General features: G+C 45.0%; 1 protein-coding gene across 1 annotated transcript; it reads right to left on the minus strand.

Annotated features, from left to right (window-relative positions):
• Nucleotides 1-989: 989 nt before the first annotated feature.
• On the minus strand, nucleotides 990-14,454 carry DUXA (double homeobox A). Its single transcript, NM_001012729.2, has 6 exons — nucleotides 14,388-14,454; nucleotides 7,612-7,766; nucleotides 6,136-6,247; nucleotides 5,297-5,442; nucleotides 2,236-2,341; nucleotides 990-1,451 (listed from the first exon to the last, which is right to left on the minus strand). Exons 1-6 carry the CDS (start codon nucleotides 14,410-14,412, stop codon nucleotides 1,381-1,383), a joined length of 615 nt encoding a protein of 204 aa, NP_001012747.1. The 5' UTR covers nucleotides 14,413-14,454; the 3' UTR covers nucleotides 990-1,380.
• Nucleotides 14,455-15,002: the final 548 nt, after the last annotated feature.

Genomic DNA, 15,002 nt, shown 5'->3' on the forward strand with positions numbered 1-15,002 from the left:
CATGTCCTAAAGTACTGGGATTATAGGCATGAGCCACCACACCCAGCCAATGTAACTTTATATTCACAAGGAAACAAAACCATTTTTGTGACTCACTTTATAGCAATATTTGCTTTATTGTGGTGGGCTGCAACCCAATCCACAATATCTTTGAGGTATGGCTGTACTTTCTAAGTGTTTCCTGAGTCAGCCTACTTTTTCTCCATTTTTTGGTCATTATTCTATCCGGTTTTTTTTTTGTTTTGTTTTGTTGTTGTTTGGAAACAAGAACTTGCTGTGTCGCCCAGGCTGGAGTGCAGTAGCACGATCATAGCTCACTGCAGCCTCACCATCCCTGTGTTCAAACCATTCTCCTGCCTCAGGCTCCTAAGTTGCTGAGACTACAGATGCACACTACCACACCTGGCTCATTTTTAAAAAATTGTTTGTAGAGATGGGGTCTCATCATGTTGCCCAGGTTGATCTGGAACTCCTGGCCTCAAGCAATCCTTCCGCCTCAGCCTTCTGAGTAGCCCTGATCAATCCATTGTTGAAGAATACATGGATGTTACTTTGCAGTCTGTCATCCTGAATTTGTGTTCACTTGACATTGCCTAATTATTAGTTTCAGCTTACCCACTTTTTGTCACTAACACGCAGAAGAGACTGTGGCCTTCTTACTGTATCATATCAGGAAGCATCTCACATTGGTTTGTGCCATTACTGGTGCAGTGACTTTCAGCCACTTGGTTAAGGTGGAGTTGGCCATATTTCTCTGCTGCAAAATTACTGATTTTCCTTTTGTAATTAATAAGTGTGTGTGAGTAGATTCTTTTGAGATGAAGTATATATCTTGTTCTTCCTTGAACTTAAAGGTTTTTTTTTAAGTGAAAGCAAATTTGTTAAGAAAGTAAAGGAATAAAAGAACGGCTACTCCATAGGCAGAGCAGTGTCACTTTAAGGTTATGACGTCAAGTGATTTTTGTACAAATCAATAATTACTGTGATGATTGAAAAAAGATTATTACCAAGTTTATTTTCATTGTCTCAAGGTCTTCTGAACTCTGGATCTAGGCTGTGTCAACAGGGTAGTGTGGTACCCCCTGTACCCGTCTCTGCCTCCTACAGTCCTTTTCATTTATTTTGTTTTTTTATAATAGAGGCAGAGTCTTGCTATATGTTGTCCAGGCTGGTTTCAAACTCCTGAGCTCAAGCAATCTTCCTGCCTTGGCCTCCCAAAGTAGTGGGATTACAAGTGTGACCCACCACATCTGGCCAAGTCCTTTACCATCTTCAGAAGGCTTAGCTTGCAGTTTCAGCAGAAGGATAGACTCCCAGGAAGACCGTGAGACAGATTTGGGGTCCAGTTGATATTATCAAGTACACTGAATTTGACTGTGTTCACCACGTTCTGGCTCCAGAGAAATGAGAGTCACTAGTGAAGTTGGTGCCATTTTGTGTATCTTCTGCACCTAAGGAGGAAAAAAGATAGAGGAAAGAATGTAAGAGATCAGCTTATATTCACAAACATGGACGTCAGCCTTTTCCCACCTTTTCTTTTTTTTTTTTTTTAGACGGAGTCTCACTTTGTCGCCCAGGCTGGAGTGCGGTGGCGCGATCTCGGCTCACTGCAAGCTCCGCCTCCCGGGTTCACGCCATGCTCCTGCCTCAGCCTCCCGAGTAGCTGGGACTACAGGCGCCCGCCACCACGCTCGGCTAATTGTTTGTATTTTTAGTAGAGACGGGGTTTCACCGTGTTAGCCAGGATGGTCTCGATCTCCTGACCTCGTGATCCGCCCACCTCGGCCTCCCAAAGTGCTGGGATTACAGGCGTGAGCCTCCATGCCCAGCCCCCACCTTTTCAATCCAATATGGAACCTACTACCTCCTGGGAAAGCCATGCCCCCGCTGCCCCTGGCAGACCACACCTGAGGATTCATTCCTCCTCTCACTCAATCACACCTTCAACAGAAGTGTATTGAGCGTTTCCTTTGTACCAGGCACTGGGGATACAACAGTGAATTTGTATCCATGGGGTTGCTGGAATCCAGTTGGAAAGTGGGCAGTGGATTCTTCAGAAGGTTCATAGGCCTGGGAAGAGTCTTTGGGGACTGTGAGCAACCCCATGGTACCGTGGAGCACTTGAGTGGGGATATCCTCCACCTCCCAGGAGGAGCTGTCGGCTCCACCATGACGAAGCACTGGACATCCAAGGGCTCCGCTTGTGAACCACATTGGAAACAACAGGCTAGTTACCTTGCAGTCCCTCAGGAATCTTGCCCTGCTCTTCTTGTTCTAAGGACGCCACAGGTTCCCTTTTTCTCTGGAGAAGTAATCTAGATCTTCGATTTTGGAACCAAATCTAAGTGGTAAGACAAAGAAACTTAATTTAAACAAAGAATGTTGTGTAAAACTCATGATTGCTTTCTTCTCTTTTTTCTTTTCTGTTTTTTGAGACAGCGGTCTCTCTCAGAGTAGCTAGTGCCACAGCTGTGCATCATCACCTTAGGCTAACTTTTAAACTTTTTGTAGAGACGAGGTTTCACCACGTGGCCCAGGCTGATCTTGAACTTCTGAGCACAACCAATCCTCCCAAGTAGCTGGGACTAGAGGCACACTTGACTGTGCCCAACCCAAGATAGATAGATAGATAGATAGATAGATACTTTTTTTTTTAATACGGAGTCTCACTCGGTCACCCAGGCTGGAGTGCAGTGGCACAATCTTGGCTCACTGCAACCTCCACCTCCCAGGTTCAAGCAATTCTCCTGCCTCAGCCTCCCAAGCAGCTGGGATTATAGGCGCCAACCACCATACCCGGCTAATTTTTGTATTTTTAGTAGAGATGGAATTTCACCATATTGGCCAGGCTGGTCTTGAACTCCCGACCTCAGGTGATCCACCCACCTCAGCCTCCCAAAGTGCTGGCATTACAGGCGTGAGCCACCGTGCCCGGCCCAACATTATTAACATTTTATGACATTTGTGAGAGTCTATAAGGCCTAAAGAGAACACCCAAAATTCTGAAACTCACACCCAGTCCCTTTGTGATAGGTTTTAGATCCTGAAAGTTCACAGGTCCACCTCATTACAATACCGGTGTTTCTCTAAAGTGACATGCTACATTGCAGCTCTTCCTTCTGCCTGAAATTTTTTTTTCTATCTCTTTTTCTTCCCCTCAGAAATGCCCATTTTACTTCCAATTCCCAGAATAGAGAATGTCTAGGAAAACATTCTTCATCCCACAAGACAAACTTAATTTCTGTTCCTTCTTTGTGCCCATAGATTATACACATAGGCATGTAAAACTTATGCATATATACTCACATAATTTGAAATAGCAGTTCATATATACTTGTACGCACACACTCACAAAAATCCCTCACCTTCCAGCAGCTACTATATTTTTGAGACAAAATCTCACTCTATCGCCCAGGCTAGAGGGCAGTGGTGCGATCACAGTTCACTGCAGCCTCAACCTCCTGGGCTCAAGTGATGCTCCTGCCTCAGCCTCTCGCGTAACTGGGACCACAGCCATGTGCCAGCACACCCAGCTAACTTTTAATTTTTTTCATAGAGTTGTGGTCTCCCTGTTCCTCCTGCCTCAGCCTCTAAAACTGCTGGGATTCCAGACATGAGCCGCCGTAACTGGCCACAACTCTTTTTATTTTGAGACAGAGTTTCGCCCTTGTTGCCCAGGCTGAATTGCAGTGGCGTGATCTCGGCTCACCGCAACCTCCGCCTCCCGGGTTCAAGCAATTCTCCTGCCTCAGCCTCCGGAGTAGCTGGGATTATAAGCATGCACCACCATGCCCAGCTAAATTTTTGTATTTTTAGTAGAGACGGGGTTTCTCCATGTTGGTCAGGCTGGTCTCGAACTCCCGACCTCAGGTGATCCACCCGCCTTGGCCTCCCAAAGTGCTGAGATTACAGGTGTGAGCCACTGTGCCCAGCCACAACTCTTAATAGTGTGAAAATGGCAGTTAAGTTTCAACATTGGTTTTGGAGGAGACAAACATTCAAACCATAGCAATCACTACCTAGTACAGTACCTAGCACATAGTAGATGCTCCGAATAATGCAAAATGAAAGAAGGACAGAATGAAAAATGAACACGAGACGAGGAAAGTAAAACGAAAGAACCATCAGAACTACTAATGTGCATTCATGTCCTGCTTACAGGAGGGAGCACTGGTTTAAACGCACACACACCCTACACAGCAGTCTGACAATTTTATTCCATTTCAAGATGTGTCAGGAATGAATCCTCGGACAGACTGGTACATTTCTCTGAGCTAAATGTTAAATGTCTAAAGTGGACCTCATAATTTTTTTTTTCAAGACGGAGTCTTGCTCTGTCACCCAGGCTGGAGTGCAGTGGTGCAATCTCTACTCACTGCAACCTCCACCTCCCAGATTCAAGTGATTCTCCTCCCTCAGCCTGCCAAGTAGCTGGGACAACAGGCATGAGCCACCGTGCCCGGTTAATTTTTGTATTTTTGTAGAGATGGGGTTTCACCATGTTGGCCGGGCTGGTCTTCAACTCCTGACCTCAGGTGATCTGCCCACCTCAGCCTCCCAAAGTGCTGGCATTACAGACGTGAGCCACCGCACCCAGCCTGGACCTCATAACTCTAACCTCAGGGCATAATTAGAAGATCTGAAGGATACAGTAGACATAAAGACTTCAGTCAAATAGGCCGGGCACGGTGGCTCAGCCCTGTAATCCCAGCACTTTGGGAAGCCAAGGAGGGTGGATCACCTGAGGCCAGGAGTTCAAGATCAGACTGGGCAACATGGCGAAACCCTGTCTCTACTAAAAATACAAAAAATATTAGCCAGGCGTGGTGGCACACACCTGTAATCCTAGCTACTCAGGCAGCTGAAGCACAAAAACCGCTTGAACCTAGGAGGTCGAGGTGGCAGTGAGGCAAGATTTCGCCGCTGCACTCCAGCCTGGGTAATAGAGTGAGACCCCATCTCAGAAAAAAAAAAAAGGCTTTAGCCAAATGCCTGGCTTATATGCAATGTTAACTAATATTCACTCACTCAACAACTTCTCATTGGGTGTCACGTGCCACGCACTGTTCAGGGCCCAAGGAATACAACATTGCTCAAGACAGACAGAAAATACCAGAAGGGGATGTGAGATTGAGTCCTGTGGGCACCTGGGGGTAGAAGCCAGCAGACAGGGAACAGCTGTGAAAGACCCTGAAATGTGCCCAGCATGATGAGGAACTGCCTGAGGCCCATGTGGCTTCCCTTCCTGTATACCTAGATCCCTAGGAGATGGGACAACCACCTTCTTATCACTCACTTGGACTCTTGACTCTGGAACACCGATTTCTTTAGCAAGTTCTTCTCTGGAATCAATCCCAGGATATGGGTTTTTCATAAATGCCTTGATGAGAGTGTGTAACTGAGAGGCGCTGTAGGTGGTACGACACCGTCTGGCTTCTCTACCTAGGGAAGGCATGGAAAGATGGAGGGGGGCGGTCAAGGAATATTGCAAGGGTCCATTCACATATTCAAACACAGAACCCAAACTTGTCACTCTCCCTCCAATTTCGATCCCACTGACTCCTCCTGAGAGGATCTTGTCCCAGGTTCCTTCCAGGTGGAAGGTTCTAGAGGAGACCCAGGATGATATGTCTGGGCTTCTGGACTCCAGTAGAAAGAAAGTAGGCAAGAGGCCGGGCGCGGTGGCTCACGCCTGTAATGCCGGCACTTTAAGAGACTGAGAGGGGGCAGATCACAAGGTCAGGAGTTCAAGACCAGCCTGACCAATATGGCGAAACCTCGTCTCTACTAAAAGTACAAAAATTAGCTGGGCATAGTGGCGCGCACCTGTAAATCCCAGCTACTTGGGAGGCTGAGGCGGAAGAATTGCTTGAACCTGGGAGGCAGAGGTTGTAGTGAGCCAAGATCAAGCCACTGCACTCCAGCCTGGGTGACAGAGTGAGACTCCATCTCAATAAATAAATAAGAAAGCCTGGGAAGAGGGCAGGGGAGAACTTCTAGGGTACGATGAACCCTTTGCCACCATAAGACCCTGAACAGGAGGTCATCAGGGAGGAGACATTCTTTTTTCAAAGTCGCAGTTGGCTCCGCCGTAGAGAAGCTCTGCTGGGGAACAGAACTAAGAGGGTTATTTACTTTGAAACTCCACACCAGGTTGATCTTGCCCCTGGCTCTGGCTTGATTCTAAAGTCTCAGCTTCTGGTCTTTTCTGGAATCCGTGCCTAGCTCTTCGATTCTGAAACCAAATCTAAGTGAGGAAAAGAAAAGGAGAGAATTACGTGTTAATGTCATTTAAGCTACATCACTGCCTGTTCCCAAAGTGAGCAATTCTTATTGGGCCTAGGCCCAGGATTATTACTTACTTCTGTCACATTCTACCAAGTCCTTTTTTTTCTTTTTTGAGATAGAGTCTCACTTTGTGGCCCAGGCTGGAGTGCAGTGGCGTGATCTCGGCTCACTGCAACCTCCACCTCCTGAGTTCAAGTATTCTCCTGGCTCAGACTCCCAAGGAGCTGGGATTATAGGTGTGTGCCATCATGCCTGGCTAATTTTTGTATTTTCAGTAGAGATGGGGTTTCTCCATGTTGGTCAGGCTGGTCTAGAACTCCTGACCTCAGGTGATCCACCCACCTCGGCTTCCCAAAGTGCTGGGATTATAAGCATGACCTACCACGCCCAGCCCATCTACCAACTCTTTGGTCAAGACTTGGCATTCACACCCAGGGCAACATTGTGTGACACCATAATCTCTACTAAAAACAAAAAAGTTAAAAAAAAAAAAAATTAGCCGGCCAGGTGCAGTGGCTCATGCCTGTAATCCCAGCACTTTGGGAAGCCGAAGCAGGCAGATCACGAGGTCAGGAGTTCAAGACCAGCCTGGCCAACATAGTGAACCTCAGTCTTTACTAAAAATACAAAACAAAATTAGCTGATCATGGCGGCAGGCGCCTGTAGTCCCAGCTACTTGGGAGGCTGAGGCAGAAGAATCACTTGAACTTGGGAGGCGGGGGTTTCAGCAAGCCAAGATCACACCACTGCACTCCAGCTTGGACGACACAGCGAGACTCTGTCTCAAAATTAAAAAAAATTAGCTGTGGTGGCACATGCCTATAGTCCCAGCTATCTGGGAAGCTGAGGGAGGGTTGCTTGAGACCGGGATTTCAAGGCTTCGGTGAGCCTTGATTGTGCCCCTGCACTCCAGCCTGGGTGAGACAGTGAGACCCTGACTCAAAAAGATGAAAACAAAAATAAAAATAAAAGATTGGGCATTCAGCATCTTCACAATCTGCTGCCAACATGATTTGCTCTAATTATTAATATTTAATTGGTAAATAGCTGCTACAATTATTACATGTTTAAAAGCCAGCTCAAGTATCTCCTTCTCTGAAGGTACGCCTACACGTGTTCTCTCACCTCCTGTGAGCTCGCTCATCCTCAGTATCCACATCTGTGAAGTGAGGCTAAGACCAACACCTTCGTGGGTTTATTGAGGGTCAGTTGAGATACTCCCTACCAAGCCCTCAGCACATGGGTACATAGTATGGGCTCCGTTAATGGTTCTCTCTCCTGCCTTTTTACTTCCAGTCCTGGAGATATTGAACTTTAACTTACCTGGATTCTGGACTCTTCTGTATTGATTTCTAAAGCAAGTTTTTGTTTGGTAGCATAACCTGGGTAAGGCTTTTGATTGAAGGTATTGATGAGGATTTTCAACTGTTCTTCTGTGAATTTTGTGCGACAGCGCCTATGATTTGTTTTTACCATCTCTGTAGGAAGATTACAAAAGAAGAAGCATGTAATAGGTTAATTTATATACTCAAACTTCAGGTTCAAGCTAGTCTCTCACTTCCTCTTCCCAAATCCACTGGAATCCACTCCAGGAGAACTACCCTCATACAAGTATGGAGCTCTTGAACACACAATGGCGATTTTTCAACTTCTTTAGCTCATCTGAATGCCATACTAAGAAGTCAGGGATCCTCTGTTTTGAAAAACCATTAAAAACCATTGTGAGCCGGGCATGGTGGTTGACGCCTGTAATCCCAGCACTTTAGGAGGTCAAGGTGGTCAGATCATGAGGTCAGGAGTTCGAGACCAGCCTGGCCAACATGATGAAACTCCATCTGTACTAAAAATACAAAAAATTAGCCAGTCGTGGTGGCGTGTGCCTGTAATCCCAGCTACTCAGGAGGTGGAGGCAGCAAAATCGCTTGAACCTGGGAGGCGGAGGTTGCAGTGAGCCGAGATCGTGCCATTGCACTCCAGCCTGGGTAACAGAGTGAGACTCTATCTCAAAAAAAAAAAAAAAAAAACTGGGCGCGGTGGCTCACACCTGTAATCCCAGCACTTTGGGAGGCCGAGGCGGGCGGATCACAAGGTCAGGAGATCGAGACCATCCTGGCTAACATGATGAAACCCCGTCTCTACTAAAAATACAAAAAATTAGCCGGGCGCAGTGGCGGGCACCTGTAGTCCCAGCTACTCCGGAGGCTGAGGCAGGAGAATGGCGTGAACCCGGGAGGCGGAGCTTGCAGTGAGCCGAGATTGCGCCACTGCACTCCAGCCTGGGTGACAGAGCGAGACTCCGTCTCAAAAAAAAAACAAAATGAAGTAAAATAAAAAATAAATAAAAATAAGAATATGTATGTCATGAAAATGCCAATAATTTTTTTTAAAAAACAATGTGTTCTGTTCATATGGATTAGAAACAATCTAAGTCAAGAATGCATGCAATATGTCATTGTAGTGATGAAACCATAGAAACGAAGAGTTTGTGATACAAGGACCATTTCAACCCCTTTCAGTTTTTCAGGTCAAAATTCCTTGGTATTTTATTTTTATTGGCATATATTTTATTTTTATTATTTTTATTTTTTCAGGCAGGATCTCACTCTGTTGCCCAGGATGGAGTGCAGTGGCGCAATCATGGCACACTGCAGCTTTCACCTCCACAGGCTCAGGTGATCCTCCTACCTCAGCCTCCTGAGTAGCTGGGACTACAGGTGCACACCCCCACACCCAGCTAATTTTTCTACTTTTTGATAGAGTTTCGCCACGTTGTCCAGGCTGGTCTCAAACTCCTGGGCTCAAAAGCGATTCCCCAGCCTTGGCCTCCCAAAGTGCTGAGATTACAGATATGAGCCACCACCCCTGGCCGGAGCATATTTTTTTTACTTTGACCTCCATTGCTCAATAGCAATAACAGGCAAACAGTAACAGTTTCCAAGGTATTTTTAAAAACACCACAGGGAGGACAAAATTAGCTGGAAAAAGAATTTCATACTTTCAGTGGAATTTTCCAATAGGAAAAAAAATACCACATCACATAATTTGCTGGATAGGACATCTCCTTGAAATAACCAAATCTGGAAAGCATTTTGGAAGATACCATTTCGTAACAGAATTAGACTTAGTGAATTGAGATAAGAAGAAAATTTACTAGAGATGCTAGAAGTTCAGTTAAAAGACCAACAGCTTTTTTGTTTGATCTTTGAATGCTTGCCCTTGTCTTCAGTTTCACACACCTGGTCCATTGTTTTGTTTTTTGTTTTTTGTTTTTTGAGATGGAGTTTCACTCTTGTTGCCCAGGCTGGAGTGCAATGGTGCAGTCTCGGCTCACTGCAACCTCCACCTCCCAGATTCAAGTGATTCTCCTGCCTCAGCCTCCAAAGTAGCTGGGGTTACAGGCACGTGCCGCCACGCCTGGCTAATTTTTTGTATTTTTAGTAGAGACAGGGTTTCACCACGTTGGCCAGACTGGTCTCGAACTCCTGACCTCCTGATCCACCCACCTTGGCCTACCACATTGCTGGGATTACGGGTGTGAGCCACTGCACCTGGCCCCTGGTCCACTGTATTTCACTGAAGGGGGAAGTTTCAACTTTTACAAGCTCAATGAATTGGCTCATACAATCCACCTTTGACATTACCCATCATTCCTCTTGAACCTTGACCTCATCATACGCGACATTCCATACCTTGACCTCATCTCCTTGACCTCATCATACGCGACATTCCACTTGGCTTTATATGTTGCAATGTGTACTCCTGCCATGATATCTAACTTCCATCTGACCCCCAACCCGGCCAACTTCTTCCTTCTCCAGAGTTTTCACTTGCTCCTCCGTCTACCCACAAGGCTCTTCACACGATGATGGATGAGATCACCTTGCTCAGGTCTCAGCTTGCACACCATCTTCTCAGAGTCCCTCCCTGACCCTCCGGTCTAAGGCAGTCCACACCCCATGCTATGACCTCTCACTTTACCACCATGCTTAGCTAAGTTTTTGATGTTTTGTAGAGATGGCCTTTCCCTAGGTTGCCCAGGCTGTATGAGACTCCTGGCCTCCCCATACAATCCTCCCACCTCAGCCACCCAAAGTGCTGGAATTACAGGAAAGAGTCACATCCTCTCTCTTTTTTTTTTCTTTGAGACAGAGTCTCACTCTGTTCCCCAGGCTAGAGTTCAGTGGCACAATATCGGCTCACTGCAGCCTCAGTCTCCTGGGTTCAAGTGATTCCCCTGCCTCAGACTCCTGAGTAGCTGGGATTACAGGCACCTGCCACCATGCCTGGCTAATTTTTGTATTTTTAGTGGAGACGTGGTTTTGCCACGTAGGCCAGGCTGGTCTGGATGATCCACCCACCTCAGCCTCCCAAAGTGCTGGGATTACAGGTGTGAGCCACCATGCCTGGCCAATTTCTTAAACTTGTTTAAAGGGTAGTTGTCACATGGAGTCTGAAAACATATCAATGAACTTTTCTTACTGCGTTATATTAAAATACATTTTTGTCTTACATTTTTTTCAAGTTTCCAACCCATTATCTTACATTTTGAATGGCTCTTTTACCTATCGATGATTTTGTAGCCTCTTGCATTGATCATTTAAAATAACAGTTTAGACTGGGCGTAGGTGGCTCACACCTATAATCCCATCACCTTGAGAGGCCAGGACAGGTGGGTTCCTTGAGTCCAGGAGTTCAAGACTATCCTGGGCAACATAGTGAGACACCATCTAACTCATTCTACAAGGCCAGTATTACTCTGATACTCAAAAGCAGGCAAATAGACACATCGAAAAAGGACAATATCCCTAATGAACACTGATGCAAAAATCCTCAACAAAATACTAGCAAACTGAATTCAACAGTAAAAAGATAATTCCTCATGACCACATGGGATTTATCCCACGGATGCAAGGATGCCTCTGTACCCCATACATATATACACTTACTATGCACCCACAAAAATTCAAAATCATTGGCCGGGCACAGTGGCTCACGCCTATAATCCCAGCACTTTGGGAGGCCGAAGCAGGCAGATCACCTGAGGTCAGGAGTTCGAGACCAGCCTGACCAACTTGGAGAAACCCCGTCTCTACTAAAAATACAAAATTAGCCAGGCATGGTGGTGCATACCTGTAATCCCAGCAACTTGGGAGGCTGAGGCGAGAGAATCGCTTGAACCCGGGAGGCAGAGGTTGCAGTGAGCCGAGATTGCACCATTGCACTCCAGCCTGGGCAACAGGAGTGAAACTCCGTCTCAAAAAAATAAAATTAAAAATAATTTTTTTAAAAAAGGCTAGATGACTGTAGGATTTTGGTGGAAACAAAAATTTTTTTTAAGATAAAAAATATTTCAAAATAATAAAAATGTGAAAGGCTAGTTTTATGCTAGCAATTCAAATAATTACATACATCCTTCTTTTCCAGACAAGCATCCTATTCCAGTATGAAGCACAGGGTTTGATGCATATGTCCCTTTGTGTTACACAGGATATTAAAAAGGTGTAATCAAGGGTTAAAGTTTAATAAAATCAATAATTGTTACTGCTTAAGGACATTCCTAAGTGAAACCACTTTTTGTTCTTGCACTGAAAGTATGAGGGTAACCACAGTAACTACCAGTACAATTTGGTTATACTGGTTTGATGTCCTCTGAGGTACCAGCAGATTTACCCATCATTGTTTTTGTATCATCAGTGCAAAAGAAAAATGTCTTAGTATAATTAGGAAAATTGTGTCAACCTTACAGTTCCTGGAAAGGGCTCTGGAGCTCCACAGGCCATACTTTGAAAACAAGTGCCCTAAAATAAATCTTCTATTCTTCCGTATATTTGTAAGTAACACCACCCCTTTCAAAAGACCACTTCATAAGATTTACATAGACCTGCCCTGATACCTTGAGAAATTGATCCTCTCTGCTTTTGTAATTAACCTCAGAAAGCCACTCCTAAATCCATTTTGCTTTTCCTCAACTTCTACATTTCTGGAGTAGGAAAAAAAAAAAAAAAATATATATATATATATATATGTATATATATATATTCATTCTTTTGACTGAATTCTAATTTCTAACACTTTACCTTCTCCACACAACAAACATTCACTTCCAGAAATGGCTAGGTAAGTCCTAGTAGAATTAACCAGAATATTTTCATCTAATTTTTCAAGTGTTAAAAAATTATTAACGCCTATTAAAAGCCAGACCCTGGCCGGGCACGGTGGCTCACGCCTGTAATCCCAGCACTTTGGGAGGCCGAGGCGGGCAGATCACGATGTCAGGAGATCGAGACCATCCTGGCTAACACAGTGAAACCCCGTCTCTACTAAAAATGCAAAAAATTAGCCAGGCGTGGTGGCGGGCGTCTGTAGTCCCAGCTACTCGGGAGGCTGAGGCAGGAGAATGGCATGAACCCGGGAGGCAGAGCTTGCAGTGAGCCGAGATCGCGCCACTGCACTCCAGCCTGGGCGAGAGAGTGAGACTCCTCTCAAAAAAAAAAAAAAAAAAGCCAGACCCTATTCTAGGCACCATAAACAAAACAGTTAAGATATCCTTGATCTTTAAGGAGCTGAAAGATATCAAGCAAACAAGCAAAAGATGTAGTGTATCAGATGATGAGTATTTCCACGGCAAAGAAGACTCAAGTGGCAAGAGTAGAGAGTGCAGGGGTGAGGTCACAGTTCTAAGTGCAATAGTTAGGGATGGGCTCACTGAGAAAGTATAACATGAACAAAGGCTTGAGGCACATTAGAGAGTGAGTAATGCTGACGTTTGAGAGACATTGCAGGAGGTGGGGAGAGGCCCTGGGCTGGGACGCTGCCTGTCCTATTTGACATAAGGCAAGGAGGCCAGAACATCTGAAAAAAAAGAATAAAAGGGAAGCAGACGAGGTCACAGACCATACCAAGCGCCACGTTATCTAGGGCACGATAGGGCCAAGTGCCTTTTTGTTGAAGGTTTTGAGCAGATAAGTGACATAATTTAATTTATGTATGTATGTATGTATGTATTTTTGAGATGGAGTCTCGCTCTCTGGCCCAGGCTGAGGTACATGGCATGATCACGGCTCACTGCAACATTCACCTCTTGGGTTCAAGCAATTCTCCTGCCTCAGCCTCCCGAGTAGCTGGGACTACAGGCGCCCACCACCACGCCTGGTTAATTTTTGTATTTTTAGTAGAGACAGGGTTTCACCATGTTAGCCAGGCTGGTCTTGAACTCCTGACCTCGTGATCTGCCCACCGCGGCCTCCCAAAGTGCTGGGATTACAGGCGTGAGCCACGGCGCCCGGCCGCCATAATTTAATTAACAGTTTAACAACATCACATGAGGTACAGCGTTGAGAATAGGTTGGTGGAAGCAGGGAGATCAGTTAGGAGAAGACTGCAATAATCTCATGCAATGGGCCAATAATCTAATGAGATGGACCAAGAAATGGTCAGATTCCTTAAATATTTGAATGTTAAAGCCATCAGAATGTCCAGCCTGACTGTGTTATGGGGGAAAAAATGGAGTCAGGGGTGTTTTCTAGATATGAGGCATGACCTGGCACCTCCTGAGCTGGAGAAAACAGTGCGAGGAATAGTTTAGATATGAACATAGGGAATTCAGTTTTTGGAACACATTGAGTCTGAGATGCCTGTTAGAGACAAGCAGGCAATTAGATGAAGTCCAAAGTTCAGGAGAAAAGTTCAAACATTCTGTAGAGAGAAATCAGGAAAGTGCTTTCCAGATCTGGAATCCTTGATTCCAAGGATATTTTGAGCTCTGAACTTTGTGATGTGTCCCATAGTTGCTCTGTTTTAGCATCTGTCTCCCTCTCCTTTTTTTCTTTTCCACTCCTTCCTCCTCTCTTCCTTCCTGAAGCTCAAATATGTCTTATTTAGTTCTTGAATATCTGTACCTTTCTGAAATTCCCAATGCTCAAATGCACTGAAAACAGCCTATTTTCATAATATCACATCAGAGAAACCGGTTTTCCCCTATCCAGATACAGTTAAAGTTTAAAAATGGAACTCTCACAACTTCTGACAAGACCACTGGGTTTTTAGCCCTACTTTTTCCCCAAACCAACAAAAGCTCAGTCAAGCACAAGGGAACTTACTGTGTGAATAGGTGTCTTCGGCCATGCTGGAAGAGAGTCCTGAAGGCTGAGCCACTGTCTGGGAGACAAGTCACTCTGCGCAGAGACTGGGTTTTATATGCGTAGCCAGGTGGTCCCGCCCACTTTTTTAAACCATTTACATAAATCTCTAGTTCCACCCTTAGTAATTGTATCACTCCTTAGAAACATGTATCCTCCATCTAAAAAGGACTAGATAGGACCCCTTTCCGTCAATTGATATTTAATAATTTACACCAGTGTATAAATTATTACCAACCCCTACACCTAAGCCATCACAAGAAGAACATTTCGGCCCATGCCAACTCACATACACAGAGTCATGCTCCTTGGCTCCCCCAACCCCCTTGTGGGAAAAAAATTCGTCCCAAATCACTGGAACCTGAACAGGGAGACAAGCTTGCAATAGTTGCCAATTTTTTAAAAAAGAATATTTTTGAGTACTATTCTGCTTACACATATTTTTCAATGCTTATTATATACATATAGTCTTTTGTAAATGGGGTTTTTATGCTCTCCACCTATCTTTTGACATAGTGGCCTCTCCTTATAAATTAAAAGTGTTATTTCTAATTAGTATCACATAAGAGTGAGGCT

This window comes from Homo sapiens, chromosome 19, assembly GCF_000001405.40.
Source record: "Homo sapiens chromosome 19, GRCh38.p14 Primary Assembly".
Taxonomy (NCBI): domain Eukaryota; kingdom Metazoa; phylum Chordata; class Mammalia; order Primates; family Hominidae; genus Homo; species Homo sapiens.